Source organism: Homo sapiens, chromosome 18, assembly GCF_000001405.40.
Source record: "Homo sapiens chromosome 18, GRCh38.p14 Primary Assembly".
NCBI classification, from domain to species: domain Eukaryota; kingdom Metazoa; phylum Chordata; class Mammalia; order Primates; family Hominidae; genus Homo; species Homo sapiens.
In genome coordinates this window covers 68,433,294-68,455,031 of record NC_000018.10, presented here as the reverse complement: position 1 = coordinate 68,455,031, position 21,738 = coordinate 68,433,294, and the positions used below count along the sequence as shown (strand labels likewise).

At 38.1% G+C, this 21,738-nt stretch overlaps 1 annotated feature.

Annotated features, from left to right (window-relative positions):
- Nucleotides 17,712-18,911: an enhancer, noted in NCBI's record as "MED14-independent group 3 enhancer chr18:66103358-66104557 (GRCh37/hg19 assembly coordinates)". NCBI's record gives its function as "activates an origin of replication core promoter dependent on BRD2, BRD4, P300/CBP and CDK7 cofactors, and independent of MED14, by STARR-seq in HCT116 cells {active_cell/tissue: HCT116}" and the evidence as "EXISTENCE:reporter gene assay evidence [ECO:0000049][PMID:35650434]".

Genomic DNA, 21,738 nt, shown 5'->3' with positions numbered 1-21,738 from the left:
CCAGCATATATCCATCCTTTGGGAACTACAGAGAACAAAATGTCAGTGTGAACTAGCATGTGGGCACTAGCCATAACTCCTTTCACCTGGCTTGATGCAGAGTAAGTGGACTTTATAAAACTCAGCTCCAAGATTTTCCCTGGGGAGGGAAACAGTTGGACCACACATCCAATGCCCCAACTTTTCCAGGGGCTCCCCAAAGGATTGTCTTCTATCTTGTTTGTCTTAGAGACTTGGCATATTCTAACCACCTGGGGTTCAGTGAGAACAAAGATTACTGTTTTATTTAGCACACAACTAGTCACCACAGCTCATCCCACCAGCTCAGTGCAGAGCAAAGTGTTGAACGCCCACACACCCCAGCTCCAGTCTTGTTTGTTTCACAATGCTGAAGGGACTTGGCATATTATGGACACCATGGGTCCTCTACAAACAATGAAAGCAGATTGGACCAACATAAGGGTTTGAGAGGCTTCCAGAATTTCTGGCCAGGCTGATTGATGAGGGTCTTCTCATGTATGAGACCAGTCCATGAAGACTGAGAGAAGCACTTGCTTTGTCAGTATGTAGACTCTAACGCAGGGAGTCAAGGAAAATGAAAAAAACAAAACAGAAAAATAGGTTTTAAATAAAGGAACAAGATGAATCTCCAGAAACTGACTCTAATAATGAAATTGAGATAGATGATTTACCTGACAAAGAAATTGACATTGCCATTATGACAACACTCACTGGGGTGAGTCAAAAACCATCCCAAAAGACAAAAAAAGGAATTTACATAATGATAAAAGGATCAATCTACCAAAAGATATAGCAATTATAAATATATATGCACCCAATATTAGAGCATCAATCTATAAAGCCAACATTAATGGAACTGAGGGAAGAAATATATAGCAATGTGATCATAATAGGAGAGTTCAAAACTCCTACTTTCAATAATGTATAGAACAATTGGACAGATGCTAGATCACAAAATAGGTCTTAAGTTAAAAAAAAAGATGGCAATCATACAAAATATCTTTTCCAGCTACAATGCAATGAAACTAGAAATCAATAGCAAGAAAACTAGAAAATTCACAAGTAAACTGTTACCATGAGACAGTATGTACATAAAGATGGCACATTTACTAGATAATAGGAATGTCTTAGTCTAAAGAATACTTAATTATTAGTTGTCTTGTCACTACTCGGAGCCACTTTACAGTTAATGGTAAGTTTGTTGGAGAAGAGTGGAAAATACTCTTTGTTGTCACTCTTCATGTATTGGCCTAACATTCTTAGCAGTATAGCAAAACTGTCTAACTCTAACTTGACTTTAGGCTCGTTAACTGGATTAAAGATGGATGTGGTCTTGTTGGTATTGCTCAGTTTCTAGTATTTTATTTTATTTTATTTATTTTATTTTATTTTATTTTATTTATTTTATTTTATTTTATTTTATTTTTTATTTTATTTTATTATTTTATTTTATTTTATTTTATTTTATTTTATTTTAATTTTATTTTAATTTTATTTTATTATTTTTTGAGATGGAGTCTTGCTCTGTCGCCCAGGCTGGAGTGCAATGGCGCGATCTCGGCTCACTGCAAGCTCCGCCTCCCGGGTTCACGCCATTCTCTTGCCTCAGCCTGCCGAGTAGCTGGGACTACAGGCGCCCGCCACCACGCACAGCTAATTTTTTGTACTTTTAGTAGAGACGGGGCTTCACTGTGTTAGCCAGGATGGTCTCAATCTCCTGACCTCCTGATCCGCCTGCCTCCGCCTCCCAAAGTGGTGGGATTACAGGCGTGAGCCACCATACCCGGCCAGTTTCTAGTATTTTAAAGGAATTTTGCTTATAATTTGACATTATTCCTGAGACTATGTTTATACTGTAAAACAGGTTTAAAATGTTAACTTCACATTAGGTCCTTGTATTAACTTCCTATGGTTGCCATAAAAAAAAGCCAAAAACAGAGTATCTTAAATAGCGGAATGTTTGTCCTACAATTCTAGAAGAGAGAAATTAAAAATCAAAGTGTTAGCAGGGCCCTGCTTCCTCTGAAGTCACTAGGGAAGGATTGCTTTCATGCCACTCTACTAGCTTATGATAGTTGGCTGGCATTCTGTGGCATTCCTTGGCTTATGGCAACATAACTCCAATTTTCACAGTGTGTTTCTTGAGTGTGTGTCTTTATCCAAATTTCTTTGTTTATGAGGCTATCCCTCATATCGGATTTGTAGTCTACTCTTCCATAGTATGACCTTATTTTAACTACATCTCTTATACAATCGCACTATTTCCAAACAAGGTCACATTCTAAGGTTCTGGGGATTAGAACTTCAACATGAATTTTGGGGAAACACAATTCAACTGATTAATCTTCATTTGAAGCCAGTTTATAATGGGACATACTTATATTTGTCAAGAATTCAAATTCTTAAGAGTTGTGAAAAACAGAAAGTCTACTGCAATTTTTTTTTGTCAATGTAAACCAAAAAAAAGAGTTAAGAAGTAGTAAAAGACAATAAGCAATTACTATGTTAAATCAAAAGTTGGAATCTATAGATTTGTTTTCAATTTCAGGCTTTTCATTGATGGAATACAAAGAAAATAATAAAACTTCTCTCTCTTTGCCAGAGAAGCTTTTTATGAAGAAGTTTGAATTTCAGATTTTTTATTTTATTCATGTTTTAAGCTAAGAATGTTTATGCTTTGAAAATGATTGTTTTTCCCTCTTCATTATAAACTAAAATTGTCATTCTTGTTCAACACAGACCTCTGTGCTGGAGAGATACGAGGTGTATTCTACTTCTATGGTTCAAAGGGTATTTACAGCTTTTCAGTGTCTACATAATACTATACAGTAGCACAACAAAAAATGGCATAGATTTAATTTAAAGGGAGAACATAAGTGTTTCATTTAAGAATACTTCTGTTATACACTGTTCAGAATTTAAAGAAAATGAAGGAAACATTGTAGAGGAGGGAAATTCTATTTTGAATAAAAATTATGCCAAAAGTAATAAAAATTTTGCCTTGTATCTCTTGATTTTAAATATATGTATTTGATTGGAAAGAAAAGAGGTGGCTTTTATTTTACATAAAATGTTTCTAATGCTTTAAAGACCAGGTTTTTAAAATATGATTTTATAAAGTTAAATTAGCATAATTTCATTTTGTTTTATTTTGTTGTTGTATATTGATGGAGGGGGCGGGAATTTAAGAAAATAATGGCAAGGACATATTTTGGATAGCTAACATAAAACCAGACAAATATATTCTTATATAGGTAACTTAACCAACATTTATGAGCCCCTACATGGGCAAGTCATTGTGTTGAAGTCTATGATCATTGCTGTAAACTGTGGGTTGCAATCTAGGTGGGGGCTATACAATTTATAAATAAACAACTACAATACAGGGCTGCATTTAAAATATACAAGGAGAATATTAAATTTCCACAAGTTTGGGGATATCAAGATTTTTTTTTTTATCTGAGGAGATCAGAGAAATCCTCATGGCCATTGCTCTTAGTGGGATTTATAGGCTGGGTAAAATTTTAGTAAGTAATGATGAAGAGATAACATTTCGAAGGACTAAACAGCATCAACTATAGTCTAGAAATGAAAAAGGGAAAGGGCTGAGAATGTCAAGAAATATAATTTTCTCTAAAGGTCAGAAATTGATGACAAGACTCAAAAGAATAGAGGGTGAGATAAAGGTTACAAAGGGTGGGGTAGCATGTTTAGATTATATTTTTTAGCATGACACAGAAGATGCTTCTCATACAAGGGTGACGTGTCAATTAATTTTAAAGATTATTTTGTTGGCACTTCACATGACACATGGGATTGAAGGGGTGAAACTTTGTTGCTTCAGTCAGTACCCTGAGCGTGGAATTAAAAACTTTAATTTGGTTGATGGTAATAAAAAAAGAAAAGAGGGACAATGGGTTCTTCTTTTGAACATATATGATTTAACTTGGCCAAACTCATTTATTTATTCAAATATATCATATGGACTTAGCTAATTAGCATATCATGCATTAATACAACTTGTATTACAAAGTTCTGTACCTCAAGGAATTTCTGAAGTTACTTATTCAGATAATTTATCTAACTGGTGATGTTCCTGATTGTGGAGGACATGAGAATGTGCCGCATAAACTTCTGATTACAAGGAGCATAAATGATGAAGAACAACAATTGCCATGCTTCTAATATCTAAGCTCACATTGTGACAAAGTTATGCTTCCGAGGAGCTACTTCCAGCCAGTGACTGTGCACTATGTATTTACAGAAGGCAGACCTGTTCCTGGTAGACAAGTGCATTCTCCAATGGTCAACTGTGCTGCAAGAATTCCCTGGTGGTTTTGAACTGTCTGTACACTACACTTCACAGCAGCCTGGAATACTCAACACCCAACTTCTTTTCCATTCTTGTTCTCTCAGGTTTAGACTTGGGTCACGATCTGACAGGTTTCCTAGCCTTAGCCAGTGCCTTCTCTATTTGATCATACAAAGACATTTTCCTTAATAAAATCATTGTATATTTAGTCTTTTCTTGGCATTGGTTTCTCAGTGGACCTAGATGAATGTGAGGGTACTAGAAGTCGTTTAGCAAAATATGAGGTAAAATTAGATTTGGATCTGGCTCTTATATTACATAGTAGGGAAATAAGGCACTGTCTTGGTTGCTAGGTGGGGCACATATTGTTTTTGGCACAAGTCGGCAGCTCAATTGCTAATGATATCACTGGAGGTGTTCTAAGAAAATGTCTTGATGTAGGCAGATGCTATGGCAGGTATGACACAGACATTTGAAAAATATGGGGAAGCAGTGCTTATACAGACATATACTGATAGAGAAATTGGCTGGTGAACAAGTTGTACTGATACCTTGCAGAAGGATAATGAGAGACTAAGAGCCTGTTAACAAGTGCTCAATGGCTAAGGCTGAGAGCTAGAGAGCCTCTGTGCTAGCATAGAAAGAGGCCCTTATTAGCTGTAGCTGAAGATGGAGACAGAGTTAAATGGAAGGCTGAAGGCCTAATTATGAGAACCGTATAGCACAAAACATTTTTAAATAAGAAAGCAACATAAGTCTGATGTTAAAAGTTCAGGCCTCTAGTAGGAAAAATCTGGAATCCTTTAAACTGGAATAAGATGCCCCTGAGGATACTGACTCTACTGCCTTGACTCCATGAAACTTCACCTTCCCCAGAAAAGGTTAGCGCATCCATTGTGTTTGAAGATACTGGAGAAGCCTCTACCTTAAGATGACAGAAGCCTCCTGGCTGCCAGGCAGATAATTAGTTAGACTCTAGCATAACCCTGTTGGGCACATGTTGGACCTAATAAGTGAAGAAAAGGTTGATATACATGAAGAGTTTCAAAAGTTTTTTGCATGTACCAGATGGAGTCTGAGGAGAGCCCTGGGAAGAGAAGTCTGAGAGTGTTTGACCAAGGAGGTCAGATGAAGGTCTGGCGAGCAAGAATTTATTGGCTTGGGAGCATTTCCTTGGATACATAAGCAAGAACCACAGAGGGTGAGGCAATCTTACTGGAAATGACTGAGTTACCCTATAAGACAGAAATGAAGAAATGAAGAGGATGAGGGAGGTAGACATGCTGAAATGAATATATTAGGTGAGGCCTGATGATCTGCCAGAAAAAAATTCCCAAAGGAATTTTTTCCCCAAGGCCACAGAATGTACCTCGAAGGTATTGGTGTAAAGGGATGATGCCAAAACAAAGCTAGGCTGCATGGGGATGATGGGACTTCAAGCAACAGAAGCCACATGGTGGCATTTACCTTCCAGATAGAAGGACGCCACAATTAAATTAGTATTGTCAAGCTAAGAGGATCAGCCCAACATACTTAACCTGCCATGGGTTGCAGGGATGATTAATAGGACATAGTATCTCTAGGGCCAAAATTAAAAAGCACTGCTAAATCTCTGTAATTGAAAATATTAGAATATATAGATTAGTACAGTCACTGTGGAAACTGGATGGAGGTACCTCAAAAAACTGCAAATGAAATTACCATATGATTCAGCAATCTCACTTCTGAGTATTTACCGCAAAGATTTGAAATCAGTCAGTATGTTGATGAGATATCTGCAGCATGATTCACAACAGCCAAGTTATGGAATTAGCCTGTGTCCATCAACAAATGAATAAAGAAAGGGTGGTGGAGATACACAATGAAATACTATTCAGCCTTAAAAAGAAAAAAAAAAGTCATTTGCAACAACAGGGATATAATTGGAAAGCATTATGCTGAGCTAAATAAGCCAGACACAGAAAGACAGATACCACATGTTGTCATTTACATGTGAAATCTAAAACATTTGGACTGAAGGAGAGAGTACAGAGGCTGGGGATGTGGAGGAGATGGGGACATGGTGACCAAAGGGTGCAAAGTCTCAAATAGAAAAGAGGAATTTTTTTTTGTTGTTTTTTGACCTATATTGCAAAGTGTAATGAACATAGTTAAAAATGTATTGTACCTTTGAAAAGCCCTAAGAGAGTAAATTTTAAATGTTCTGACTGCAAACATACACACTTGAGGTGAAGGATAGGTTAATTAGTTTGCTTTAATTACCCCACCTTGTATTCATGAATCATAACATCACTTTGAATCCCATAAATATACATTATTATAACTTCTCCATTTACAATGAAAAATAGGAATTAAAAAAGTAGAAGAAGGTGCAAGGATGGAGAAGATCTGGAGACTTGAGGACAGCACCCAAAGAAAACTTTATGACACCCGCCCCCTCCGCCCCGTGCAATTGTTAGGTCTGAGTCAATTTTTCAGAATTCGAACCCACTGAAGAGATCCTTAGTAGGAGAATGTTTACAATGTCAAGCGAAGCATATAGACTGTCAATTCTCCAGTCCTTCCCCAAAGGGATCTATAGTCATTTAATCAAGTGCTGCACACTGAGGATAGAAAGGAATAATCAGACATTTCTAAGACTTTTAAACACAGAGTCTTAATTGACCCAGATACAAAGTGTCATGAAATCTCTCTGTGAGAGTGGAGGTCCTTGGGGGAGTCAAGTAATCAATGGAGTCCTGGTTAATGTCTGGCTCACAGAGGGCCCACTAGATGTGTGAAGGTATCCACTGGTTATTTCTCTAGCCACTCAGTACATAATTGGAATCGATATAGTGTCATTTGGTGATTCCTCTGCATTGGGGTCCTGATCTGTGGAGTAAGAGCTATCAGAATCAGGAAGGCCAAATCGAAATGTCTGAATTGGCACTCTTAACTGCTCTCCTTCAGTTAATTTTTTATTCAATCTAGTAAATAAAAACACCCATATATTAACCTGGGGAATGTAGTGGAGATTCATGCCACCATTAAATATCTAAATGATGCAAGTGGGTGGTCTCTATTATATCTCCATTTAATTCCCAGAATGCCCCCTGCAGAGACTAGCTGGACCCCGGGAAATGACTGTAGACTCCTGCAAATAGTAGCTGTGGTCATAGCTGCTCTGACAAATCTAGTATCATCATTAGAGCAGATTACTAATGCCTCAGGGACATGGCATGTGGTCACTGAATTGGCAACTCTGTTCTTTTTCACTGCAAAGAGAAATAGGTTCAGAATCTGTGTGTATTCATATGTGACAGACAGCAATGTTCATTTAGTTTTTCCTCAGGGCTGTTAACTCTCCTCCTCTCTATCAAAATGCTGAGTGAAGAGCCCTGGGCCACCTGCACATCCCATTTTCCATGCTGGTCCCTGACATTAGGAAGTGTGCTGTTTGGACAGGAGTGAGAGGTAGTTGGTATGCTGCAGACTGTGGTGAGATGCATATACTCCAGAGGGTAGGGACAAGCCCTGTAGGGATTCAGGGACCTGTCACTTGACCAAAGTTCATAAGCGCCTGGTGGTCAGGGGTGTTTGGGGATACACCCTCCAAAACAGAAATTGCTGCATTGTGCATTCCTGCACCAAAGAAAGAAGCACAGCAACTGGTCAGCCTCTTTGGGTTCTGGAAGCAATGTGTTTCACACTGAGTAATATTGCTCTTGTCTCTATATTCCAGGTGATATAGAGGAATCCCAGATTCAATACCAGCTTCAAGTGAGATCCAGAGAAGGAGTAGTTTTTTTTTGTTGTTGTTGTTTTGTTTTGTTTTAGCAGGTCCAGGCCACGGTGCAATCAGCCCTACCATGTGGGCTGTATGACGCTTTCTTAGTGTTGGAGGTATTAGTGGTGAGACAAATGCAGCAAGCTCCAGTGGGAGAATCACAGTGTAGACCTGGGATTCTGTAATAAGTTCATGCCATCGGTAGCAAAGATTTTGCCCCATGAGAAACAACCCTTGGTATGCCATCTTGGCTTCTCTGGGTGGGCCCTTGTATTAGCTTGCTATGAATGCTGTAACAAAGTGGCTCAACAGAAATGTGTTGTCTCACAGTTCTCAGGCTAGAAATCTGAGATTAAGATGCTGATAGGGTTGGTTCTTTCTGAGGGTTACGGGGCAAAGATCAGTTCCAGGCCTCTTTCCCTGTCTCACGGTTGGCTGTCTTCCTCTTGTGTCTTTGCAAGGTGCATGTGCTGTGCCCTCTGTGCATGTCTGTGTCCAGATTTCCCCTTATAAAAAAGAAACAAGTTATATTCGATATGGGGCTGTATCAGTCAGGGTTCTCTAGAGGGACAGAACTAATAGGATAGATGTCTATATAAAGGAGGGTATATTAAGAAGTATTGACTCACACGATCACAAGGTGAAATCCCACAGTAGGCCATCTGCAAGCTGAAGGGGAAGGAGGCTAATCCGAGTCTCAAAACCTCAAAAGTAGGGAAGCTGACAATGCAGTTTTCAGCATGTGGCCATAGACCTGAGAGTCCCTGGCAAACCACTACTGTAGGTCCAAGAGTCCAAAAGCTGAAGAACTTGAAGTCTGATGTTCGAGGGCAGGAAGCATCCAGCAGGGGAGAAAGATGAAGGCTGGAATACTCAGCAAGTCAGCGCTTCCATCTTCTCCTGCCTATTTTATTCTAGCAGTGGCAGTTGATTAAATGGTGTCCACCCAGATTGAGGATGGGTCTTCCTCTTCCAGTCCACTGACTCAAGTTTTAATCTCCTTTGGCAATACCCTCACAGACATACCCAGTAACAATACTTTGTATCCTTTAATCCAATTAAGTTGACACTCAATATTAACCATCACAGGGGCCAACCTAATTATCTCATTTTAACTTAATTACCTTCGTAAAGAATCTGTCTTCACCAGTCTGGGCAACATGGTGAAACCTCATCTCTAAAGAAAATACAAAAAATAGCTGGGCACAGTGATGCATGCCTGTAGTTCCAGCTACAAGGGAGACTGAAGTGGGAAGATGACTTGAGTCTAGCAGGTCGAGGCTACAGTGAGCTGTGATCACACCACTGCACTCCAGCCTAGGCGACAGAGTGAGACCCTGTTTCCAAAAAAAGAAAAAACTTCAAATACAGTTACATTCTGAGGTACTGGGGGTTAGAGCTTTAACATATGAATTTTGGGGAAAATTCAACCCTCAATAGCTTTAAATGCCATCACACGAATTCTTATGAGAGGAAGGCAGAGGCAATGTGACCACCAAGGCAGAGAGTGGAGTGATGCAGACATAAAAAGGAAACATTGACAGATGGGGGAGGCAGGGAACAGATTCTCCCCTAGAGCTTCCAGAGGGAGCACGGCCAGACGACAACTTGATTTTGGCCCAGTTGATACTGATTTCAGACTTCTGGTCCACAGAGCTATGAAAATAATAGATACCTGTTATTTGAAGCCACCCGGTTTGTGTTAATTTGTTGCAGTCATCTTAGGAAATTAGCACAGGCTCCAACTGCTGTTCTCTGAAATCCACTCATAGTTTTGCTCCCAGTCAATAATGGAGTGTGGCACGAAGACTACGGCAGCTCAGAACTGAGATGGGGCCTCCTCTCATAGCTGAAGCTGGCCCAAGTTCTCTCTGATCACTTTGCCAAACTTTTTTAGACCATATAGAAATTTAGGTTGCTTGCATCCACCTTTTTTGCAGTTTGATGGCTATGCCATCAGCCTGAGGTAGCTGCCTATTTTCTCGCACACATCTATTTTCCCTAATAAAATCCAGCAGTTCAGCTTCTACCTGACACCCATCTTTTGAAAAAAACTTTGACTAACACATTGGAATTCCAAAATTTTAACTTAAAAACTGGTGTGCAAATCTAAATTTTTCAGTCCCATTTTTTTCCTAAGCTCCAGGCCAACATAGACTACCACTTGATCCATATAGATTCCTCACAGATACTTCATATACTACACCACACCCAACAATGAACTCAGCAAGACCCCACCCCCTTTCACAAGCCTATATAAACACACCTGCACACAGACACACACACACACATTTCCTTCGGTAATCTTTAAAAATGGCACTATCATATGCCACTTTTTCTTCCTAACTCTTCCTTTTCCTCACACCCCAAACTCATAAAAATCCAAGTTCTAGTTCTTTGGGTATATACCCAGTAATGGGATGGCTGGGTCAAATGGTATTTCTAGTTCTAGATCCCTGAGGAATCGCCACACTGACTTCCACAATGGTTGAACTAGTTTACAGTCCCACCAACAGTGTAAAAGTGTTCCTATTTCTCCACATCCTCTCCAGCACCTGTTGTTTCCTGACTTTTAATGATTGCCATTCTAACTGGTGTGAGATGGTATCTCATTGTGGTTTTGATTTGCATTTCTCTGATGGCCAGTGATGATGAGCATTTTTTCATGTGTCTGTTGGCTGCATAAATGTCTTCTTTTGAGAAGTGTCTGTTCATATCCTTTGCCCACTTTTTGAAGTGGTTGTTTGTTTTTTTCTTGTAAATTTGTTTGAGTTCATTGTAGATTCTGGATACTAGCTCTTTGTCAGATGAGTAGGTTGCGAAAATTTTCACCCATTTTGTAGGTTGCCTGTTCACTCTGACGGTAGTTTCTTTTGCTGTGCAGAAGCTCTTTAGTTTAATGAGATCCCATTTGTCAATTTTGTCTTTTGTTGCCATTGCTTTTGGTATTTTAGACATGAAGTCCTTGCCCATGCCTATGTCCTGAATGGTAATGCCTAGGTTTTCTTCTAGGGTTTTTATGGTTTTAGGTCTAACGTTTAAGTCTTTAATCCATCTTGAATTAATTTTTGTATAAGGTGTAAGGAAGGGATCCAGTTTCAGCTTTCTACATATGGCTAGCCAGTTTTCCCAGCACCATTTATTAAATAGGGAATCCTTTCCCCATTGCTTGTTTTTCTCGGGTTTGTCAAAGATCAGATAGTTGTAGATATGCGGCGTTATTTCTGAGGGCTCTGTTCTGTTCCATTGATCTGTATCTCTGTTTTGGTACCAGTACCATGCTGTTTTGGTTACTGTAGACTTGTAGTATAGTTTGAAGTCAGGTAGCATGATGCCTCCAGCTTTGTTCTTTTGGCTTAGGGTTGACTTGGTAATGGGGGCTTTTTTTTGGTTCCATATGAACTTTAAAGTAGTTTTTTCCAATTCTGTGAAGAAAGTCATTGGTAGCTTGATGGGGAAGGCATTGAATCTATAAATTACCTTGGGCAGTATGGCCATTTTCACAATATTGATTTTTCCTACCCATGAGCATGGAATGTTCTTCCATTTGTTTGTATCCTCTTTTATTTCCTTGAGCAGTGGTTTGTAGTTCTCCTTGAAGAGGTCCTTCACGTCCCTTGTAAGTTGGATTCCTAAGTATTTTATTCTCTTTGAAGCAATTGTGAATGGGAGTTCACTCATGATTTGACTCTCTGTTTGTCTGTTATTGGTGTGTAAGAATGCTTGTGATTTTTGCACATTGATTTTGTATCCTGAGACTTTGCTGAAGTTGCTTATCAGCTTAAGGAGATTTTGGGCTGAGACAATGGGGTTTTCTAGATATACAATCATGTTGTCTGCAAACAGGGACAATTTGACTTCCTCTTTTCCTAATTGAATACCCTTTATTTCCTTCTCCTGCCTAATTGCCCTGGCCAGAACTTCCAACACTATGTTGAATAGGAGTGGTGAGAGAGGGCATCCATCATGCTGCTATAAAGACACATGCACACGTATGTTTATTGTGGCACTATTCACAATAGCAAAGACTTGGAACCAACCCAAATGTCCAACAATGATAGACTGGATTAAGAAAATGTGGCACATATACACCATGGAATACTATGCAGCCATAAAAAATGATGAGTTCATGTCCTTTGTAGGGACATGGATGAAATTGGAAATCATCATTCTCAGTAAACTATCGCAAGGACAAAAAACCAATCACCGCATGTTCTCACTCATAGATGCGAATTGAACAATGAGAACATATGGACACAGGAAGGGGAACATCACACTCTGGGGACTGTTGTGGGGTGGGGGGAGGGGGGAGGGATAGCATTAGGAGATATACCTAATGCTAAATGACGAGTTAATGGGTGCAGCACACCAGCATGGCACATGTATACATATGTAACTAACCGGCACATTGTGCACAGGTACCCTAAAACTTAAAGTATAATAATAATAAAAAAAAATCAATATTTGAAAGAAACATGACATCAAGCCGTGAAAAGGCATGAATTAATCTTAAATGCATATTGCTAAGTGAAAGGAGCCAATCTAAAAAGACCACATATTGTGTGATTCCAAGTATATGACATTCTGGAAAAGGCAAAATCTAGCAATAGTGAAAAGGAATCAGTGGTTGGCATGGATTTGGAAGAAAGGAAAGGGAAAGTTGAATAGGTGGTGCACAAGAGATTTTTAGGGCAGTGAGACTATTCTGTATGATACTGTAATTGTGAATACATAATACTATGTGATTATTAAAACCCACTACATTTTACAGCACAAAGAGTAAACTGTAATGTATGCCAATTGAACAAAACATCATGTAAGAAGTCTGAGAATCACAGGGTGGAATACAGAATGTGACAAAACAATCTAACTATTCCAAGTGTAGGAAACAACCTTACTGAAGTGTGTGGGGGAAAAGGTGCTGATCTAAGTCACTTTGGAAATAAATGAAGTCTATACAACTAAAAAAAAAAAAAAATCCAAGTTCTATAAATTTTGCCATAAATGTTGGCTCAAATTTTTCCATGTCTCTTCTTCCCAAATGCTAGTTATAGTCCAGACCATTATTGCATATTTAGAACTACATCAGTTGTCTAATAAGCTTTGCTAACATCTTGTTTGCCTCTCATTCATTCAAAGCCCTGAATTGAGCATGATGAAGCTAAAATCCAGATCTATGTTTGCTATTGGTCTCCTTGTTAAGAATCCTTTTCTCAATCTATTACTATCATTAGGACACAGTTGAAGTTCCTTAATGCGACTCACACAGGCACTCATCACCTGGCTCTTGCAGAGTTTCCATCACCAGCTTTCACTCTTTCCTTTCTCATCCTCAACAGCCAGCATCACAAAGCACACACCTTTGTCATATCATGCACTCTGTCTTGCTTTCCTGGCTACCCACACGAGACTCTGTCTGCTAGGTTTTATCTTAAATGGTTTGTCCCCTGGGAAGCCTTCCATAATAAGCCTCTATAGCAGTGCTTTCTCAAGCAGAGGCATTTTCATTCCCAAGGGAGCATTTAGCAATATCTGGAAATGGTTTTTGTTGTCACAACTGGGAGATGCTACTGGCTTCTAATGGGTAGAGGCCAGGGATGCTGCTGGACATCCTACCATTCACAGACGGGTCCCCTCCCCTTGCAAAGAATGATCAGATCCGGAGTGCCAGTAGTGCTGAGAACCCCTGCCACAGACCAGTCTAGGTGCCTGAACCTTCTGATGCAAAGGCCATGCCAGCTTGATTCATTCCTATACCTTTCCTCCCCATCCCAGTGCATCAGCATGCATTTCTTGGGTAAGTATCACTCAGTTGCCTTCACCACTGGGTTGAAAAGACAAATGCATGCTATTCTTCTTTGTCTTCTCAAAGTGCCCTACTGAAAATAATTTGTCTTTTAAAAGTTTTTGTCTCCCCCTTTGCCCCATCCACAATTCACTACTGGATATTAGCTGGGATTGTGATTGGGTGATAATCTCGGGGTTTTCACACAGCCTGCACTTTCTTCAATTCTAGTTAATAGGCCTAGGATGTCATTTATGTGATGTTCTCAGGGAGAATTCAGACTTAGAGGTACTTATCTCACACAGAATGATTCGATGATTCCTATCATCAAATTCCTACTTCTATCATCAGATTCCTATTTCTACTTTTAATAGTATTGAAGCCTTCCCTGCTCATTGTGATCACCTCATTTGGATCCTAACAGGGAAACCGGTGCTGAGACACTGAGCTTCCATATGCCACTGGCTCACTATTACTGAGTTGTTACTGCTACTTGGAAATTGAAACTTGCAGCTGTGAACTACCCGAGATAACATAAAGAAGAATCAATATTAGCTTGGCTTATACAATATGGGAAAATTTCTTCAAGTCTAAGTGAAAATGGTCTAGGCAGGAACTTTTAATGAGCTTGAGGGTCCTCTCTGGAAAGCCCTGCACTCTCGATAAAACGCTTGAGCAACGTTTGACATTAATAAAATCGAGAGCCTTTTCTGGGAAGTTAGAGACTTACACGCCCAGCTGACATTGACAGATACACCAATCTTTAGCCAGCTTTGTGTCTGTGCTAATAATCCTAAATCAGAAATCATGTTGTGTATCAAATCTAACTGATTATATTGATTTTTTTTTCTTTCTGTAATTGGTCTCTACCAACAGGGAATTTTGAATTGGCTTTTTCAGGAGAATTTCCCTTAATGACAAGCTTGAAATAAAACTTTGACACGTACTGGCAATTTTTTTGAGAAGTTCTTTAACTACAGGCACAATGGGCTTCTGGATGTCCAGTCAACCCTGACTCAAAAAAGCGAATTTCTCAGTATTTCACTGGGTCTGCTTTTCATACTGTAAGATTCTCCCAATTCACCCCGTCTCACTGATACAACAGCGTAACAATCCACATCCTTTAATTCTCAGTCAGAGGCATTTTTAATCTGGGCAGAATATGCTGCTGGCACACAGCATATCAGGTTTAAGAGCTCCAGATGCATCTGTGCTGTCTGACATTTTGGAGTTTGAGAATGTCAGCTCAAACGTAAATGTGACTCCCTCATATCCAGCAAAGGTACATCCTGTTACACTCTCCCTGCATAGTAAATGGGAGAAAACAGGCTCCAACTCTCAGTGCGCCGATATCCAGAAGTCTGTAACAAATTCCTTTGTGTCATTGAATAAGATTATTCCAGCTGGCTCCCTTTTTGCAATTAATGAAGTTATTACGCATTTTAGAGGACTTCTGCCAGATTTTAGAAAGAAAATGAATGTTTGAGAAAGGAATAATAAGGGAGGAAAGCATTAACTTAAGGGAAGTTCAGCTTTGCAAATAATTGTTCTTTATATGGGGCTCCAGAATATCTCACCATAATTAGGTTTAAGTATCTTTCTTTAACACAATAAAATGGAATAAATTGTGGAGTACTAAATAGGGTTCCCAAATTTTCAGAAAAAAAATATCTAAATGCACCATATATGGGGGTCATACGGTGTTACTCGGGTCTGCTTCCTAATGTCATGGTGTGACCTTTGTAGTTAGTTTCAAAAATAAAGTTGTGGTGAAAATCTGTTTGCTAAAATCCCTTTTCTCTTCTTCTGGGGATTGCAGCTGGACTACATTTCCTGTCTTTCATTGCAATTAGATCTGGCCAATGAAATGTGAGTAAAAGAATGTGTCACTTCGAGGCTGGGCCCCAGAAAACCTCTACAGGGTGCTTTTCATTCTTTTGTCCCTTGATCATCTGGAAGCAGATGACCTAGGGGTTATTTTAGGGCTTGGTGAAACCATCAAATGGGAGTTTCTGCCCTGAGTTACTGAGTGTCGTGAGTGTTGCTTCACTGGCTGAAGCAATGAGCCATTTTTTCCTCCCAAGATTGTGATTAAGAAATAAACTTTTCAAATGTAAGCCACTAAAATTTGTGTCTATATGTTACCACAGCCAAGTCTACCTTAAAAACCCAAGGGTTTGATGGCTTAATTTTTGCAAATGTAACTTTTTCCTTCTTTAACATGTGTTTTTCTCTTTTAGTTCTACCATGGCTTCTAGTCTCCACACATTTCTTCTTTTTTTCTCATATTTCTGATATTATTGTCTCAGTCCTCTCTTCTCCTTGTCAGAGGCACTTGAACAAGAGTGACTCCATCTTAAATAGGGGCTGGGTAAAATAAGACTGAGACCTGTTCGGCTGCATTCCCAGAAGGTTAGGCATTCTTAGTCAAAGGATGAGATAAGAGATCGGCACAAGATACAGGTGACAAAGTCCCTGCTGATAGAATGCAGTAAAGAAGCCAGCCAAAACCCACCAAATCCAAGATGGCAAAGAAAGTGACCTCTGGTTATCCTCACTGTTCATTATATGCTACTTATAATGATTAGCGTGCTAAAAACACTCCCATTAGGGCCGTGAAGGTTTATAAATGCCATGGCAACGTCCAGAAGTTGCCCTATGTGATCGAAAAGGGGAAGGAACCCTTAGTTCTGGGAATTGCCTGCCCCTTACCCAGAACACTCATGGATAATCCACCCCTTGTTTAGCATATAATCAAGAAATAACGGTACATACACTCAGTCGAGCAACCAATACCTCTGCTCTGCCTATGGAGTAACCATTTGATATGGTTTGGCTGTGTCCCCACCCAAATCTCATCCTGAATTCTAACTCCCACAACTCCCACGTTTCATGGGACGAACCTGGTGGGAGGTAATTTAATCATGGAGGTGGGTCTTTCCTGTGCTGTTCTCATGATAGTGAATAAGTCTCACAAAATCTGATGGTTTTAAAAATGGGAGTTTCCTAGAACAAGCTCTCTCTTTGCCTGCCACCATCCATGTAAGATGTGATTTGCTCCTCCTTGTCTTCCACCATGATTGTGAGGCCTCCCCAGCCATGTGGAACGATAAGTCCATTAAACCTCTTTTTCTTCCCCATCTTGGGTATGACTTTATCAGCAGCCTGAAAATGGACCAATACACCATTCTTTATTCCTTTACTTTCCTGTGAAACTTGCTTTCACTTTACTCTATGGACTCATCCCTAATGTTTTCTTGTATGAGGTTTAAGAACCCTCTCTTAGGGGTCTGGATCAGCACCCCTTTCTGTTAACATCCTGACCAGCAAACATCCTGATCTTTTCTATGTTTTTGATGAGATAATCAACAAGGCAACAATATAAGAAATGTTGAAATTTTTTATAAGCAAAATAAATATTGTAGTCTTGGAATCATGTTGGAATAAATCTGAAAATTTCAGATTTTGATGTTCCTATTTTGATATTTTTTTTTATATTTTAGTAGACCATAAAGAGATTTCATGGGAAAAGGGGCACAATTTTTGAGTTTAGATGAATATTTATTTGACTTTCCATCTCTGAAAAAGTTGTCTTCATTAGGTGAGAAATCGAAACATACTGTACTAGACTGAGAGAAGAGACATTTCCCACAATTAGTGAGAAATGTAAGAACCTTCCTTGAATATATTAATACTAAAAGTAAGAATCTTCCTTGAATATACTTGTGGAATCTTAATGATGTTAATATTATCTCCATTCTGTGAAACATCAAGTAGTTTTACCACATGAAATATGCCACCAAAAGTGCTACAAAATTTAAGAAACCATAATTTAGACTGGTGAATCTTCTTACCAAATGGCATAATATAAAATAAAAATTTCACAAGCATGGCTTGCATTATGCAATTATAATGATTGATATTGATTGCATATTTTAAATTTTATATTCAATTTACTTCTATATTCTGTTTCAGTGAAGACATTTTTAATTTGAAAATCCAGTTTCATGCAGACAGGTGGTAATATAGCACAATGTTACAGAGGGTCTATTTTGCCAGATATGGGTAATTATGCACTAGTTTTGCTCAGAATTTTATTAAGTCATCACTTGAAAAAGCTAGATTTAAATGTTTTCCACTCACACATATTTCCTTATTCAGTTTTCTGTTTCTTAACTACTTAACAGCACAGAAGTCGTGCTGTTAAATGGATAGAAAATCCAGACACAATACTGGTTAAAGAAGGAAAATATTCATTTAGAATGGATTGAAGTCTAGACATGTGAAACATTACGTAATTTTTTATCGAATCACCAATCTTGAGATTGTGCCCTGAGAAGTTATCCAATGTGAGAAAGCAACTAATTTTACCCTTTTCTGCATTTGAGTGTGTGTGGGTGTGCATTAGTCAGAGGACATATTTGTATTTGTGATTTTACTGTTGCCCGGATGCCTGCATTTCCTGTTTCCTGTTCTCTTCACGGAATCCTCTTCCTTTTGCCTTCTTGCGTCATAACCTCTATTTTCCAGATGGCAACTCCTTCTTCACTTCCTCAGTGGTGACTTTCTTCCTCTTCCCTGTCAGGACAAATTCTCTGTTATTTGATCTCCTTCATAGCATGTTGTCATGGTTGTAATTTTACACTTTGTTTAGTTAGTTATATGATTAGTGTCAGTCGCACCTACCAGACCCTTTCTCCTTAGTGTGTGGCCAGTGTGTGGCATCACTGAAGTCACCTGGGGAAAGCAGAATATTGATTTCAGACCTAATCAACCTGCATTTTAACAATATCCACATCCTCAGGTATCAAAACACACATGACAATTTGAGAAGAGATGCATTAGACTGTAAGCTTCATGAGGCTGTGGTCTGCCAAATCCCCAGTGCTAATTGCTGGGCTAGAAATCTGTCTACTGAATCATTTCCTTTTTGAATTAATTCTTGTAAAATGTACCAGAAGGACGTGGGCTCATTGAAAAATTGAAAGATAGTCCAGCTAAGCATGATTCTTCCCAAATTTTCCCATTTGTTCATTCAACAAATATTTAATTAATGCAAATCGTAGCCCAGGAATAATATTAATAGGTGCTTGCAGTGTGTTTTTTAATTAAATTATCATCTAACCCTTCTTGATGGATACGTAATAACATCTGCCAAAAGTTTAAGAAAAGTGTATTAGAGAACTGTCTAAATTTGGCATATCAACAGAACTGTTTCTACTCATCTGAAAAGACTATCAGAATATAATTTTAGTAATAAAACATCTCAACTTATTTTTTAGAACAATGGCATTAACTGAGGATATGATTTATGGCTCATCCTTCTAAACTGTGAGATCATGACTATAGTAAGAGTCACGGTGAATGTATTTGTCCTGATGTCTTCAATCTGGTGCATGGTCCCAGAAGGAGGGCATGAGTTATAGAGAAGAAACGTCAGATACTTACTTCTTTGTAAAGAAGTAAAGCAAAAGTTATAGAGGAAGGTAAAATAAAATAATTGGGGAAAAATTCTCTAAATTGAAATTAAAATATAAATTCTTCAATTTAACTTATAAATCATATTTAAAATGTCTATCAGTTGTCATCAATCTAGGGAACAGTGCCATACCCATAATTTCTTTCAAATTAATAAGTCTTTTTTTTTTCGTTTTTTTTTTTTTTGAGATGGAGTTTTGCTCTTGTTGTCCAGGCTGGAGTGCAATGGTGCCTCAGCTCACTGCAACTTCTGACTCCCGGGTTCAAGAGATTCTCCTTTCTTAGCCTCCCAAGTAGCTGGGATTACAGGCGTCCACCACCATGCCTTGCTAATTTTTTTATTTTTAGTAGAAACAGGTTTCACCATGTTGGCCAGGCTAGTCTCAAACTCCTGACCACAGGTGATATGCCAGCATCAGACTCCCAAAGTGCTGGGATTACGGTCATGAGCCACCATGCCAGGCCTCAAATTACTAAGTTTTTTACCTTCTGAATTTTAAGTAGGCCTCAAAGGTCACAGTTTAGGAAGCAGACCACAGTATATATGATGAGGATCAATACTTTCCTTTGGGTTTCATTTGCACATATGTGATGTAATACCATTGGTATGCAAAATACACTATCAAATACTGTTTGATGGATGTAGGAATTTTTTGCTTTAATTAAGCTGGAGTACAGCAAACTTTTCTAAATTTATGCTATAAACTTACGTAATTAGGTTTTCTCTTCATAGGAAAGGACATGTGGTACAACTTCAAAACTGTATGTACAACCATTTATCATTGCCAGAAATGTAAGTTTTCCTCAAAGGATCTAATTAAAGTTCTGGACATTTATTCTTTTGATATGATACAGACTCTGAGATCACAGGGGGCATGAATATGTCTGATAAAGATTCTAAAAATATTTCAACTGTTTGATATCATTTTGAAGAGTCCAGTTTTTAGTTAGCTGAGAATAAAAATTAAAACTACTTGAAAGAAAATATATACTGATTATTATATTCTAATGAACTCATCTTTAATTCTTTTTAATTAAATTTTTACAAGTAAATCCTGATAGCATATTTTTTTTTTCTGTGGAGGTGAATAAATACAGAAAAAAGTATTCTCATATGACTCATAAGATCGTGTTTAGTGAAACTGTAACTATTTTAACTGGATTTTTTTTTTTTCTGGACAAAACTCTATCAGGCTCAATGTAATTTGAACTAATGTCAATTTTTAAATTATTAAATGTATACCATTTTAGAAGTTATACATATTTAAAAGAAAGAGGCCTTTGGAGATTTATTTGGATAATGTTTTCATATCTTTCACTGCAATTGGTACATTCTCTACTGCCTTTCTCCTTCATCCTACCTACAAGATCCATTAAAGCTCTAGTTTTCATGACTTAACTCATGTCAATTACTCAAACTAAAATTCCATCTCCAACTGTCTCTGTGAATTTAAACTGCATGTTTCACAATTCACCTCCCACTCTACTATGAGCTTTCCTATTCTGATATAACAATATGATCTATAAAATTCATCTACTATTTAATAGCAACTCAGCAAATAAATATTTATTAAATGTCTACTAGTTGTATGTTTTCACTAACTTCTCTATGGAATGTGTGTGATAGAATAAGAAAATAATTAAATATATCCTTATATATAAGAACTCAGCTTTCTATTAGGTCCAGATTTTCAATAATAGAATTCCCACTTTATTCAATATTAGGATGAGCTAAAGTACTCCACACATAAAGAGATAAAAGGAAATGCTGTTTTTATGTTGTTCTGCTGCATCAAATACCCTAGAAATCCCAACCAAGTAGGACTATTAGCTTCTATTTCTTCTCAGTGAGACTTAGAGATTTATGATCTTCATCAGTGCTGAGATTTGAACTGGTGTCTCTCTTAGTCCATGAGCCTTTTTTGCATGTACTATGCTGCCATTTTTGTAATATAAAATTTTGGTAACTATATATGACTTATTTCAGTATTCTCATTGTTCTTCAGAATATATGTAATTTTTCCAAAGTTTACAGTGGCATACAATTTAATTAATTAATTCATATATATTTTTTTCTATTCTTATTCTACAAGCATCCAATACCGAGAAATTATGTTTCTTTATCACTCATCATTATTTCTTCCCATTCAAACGTGGTCCTCCTTGATGGATGCAAATGGACCCATCTTAACATAGACAGTGGAGAGTCATCACTGACTCCTCCCTTTTCCTCACCTCTCCCTCTAGTCAATCTCCAAATTATCTTTTTTTTTTCTTGGAATACTCTTGTCTTGACTAGAAATAATTTCTCATAGCAGTATCAATTTAACCTCATTGTCCCCAAGACATGGGGCTCTTCCTTGTCTGTCACCCTGG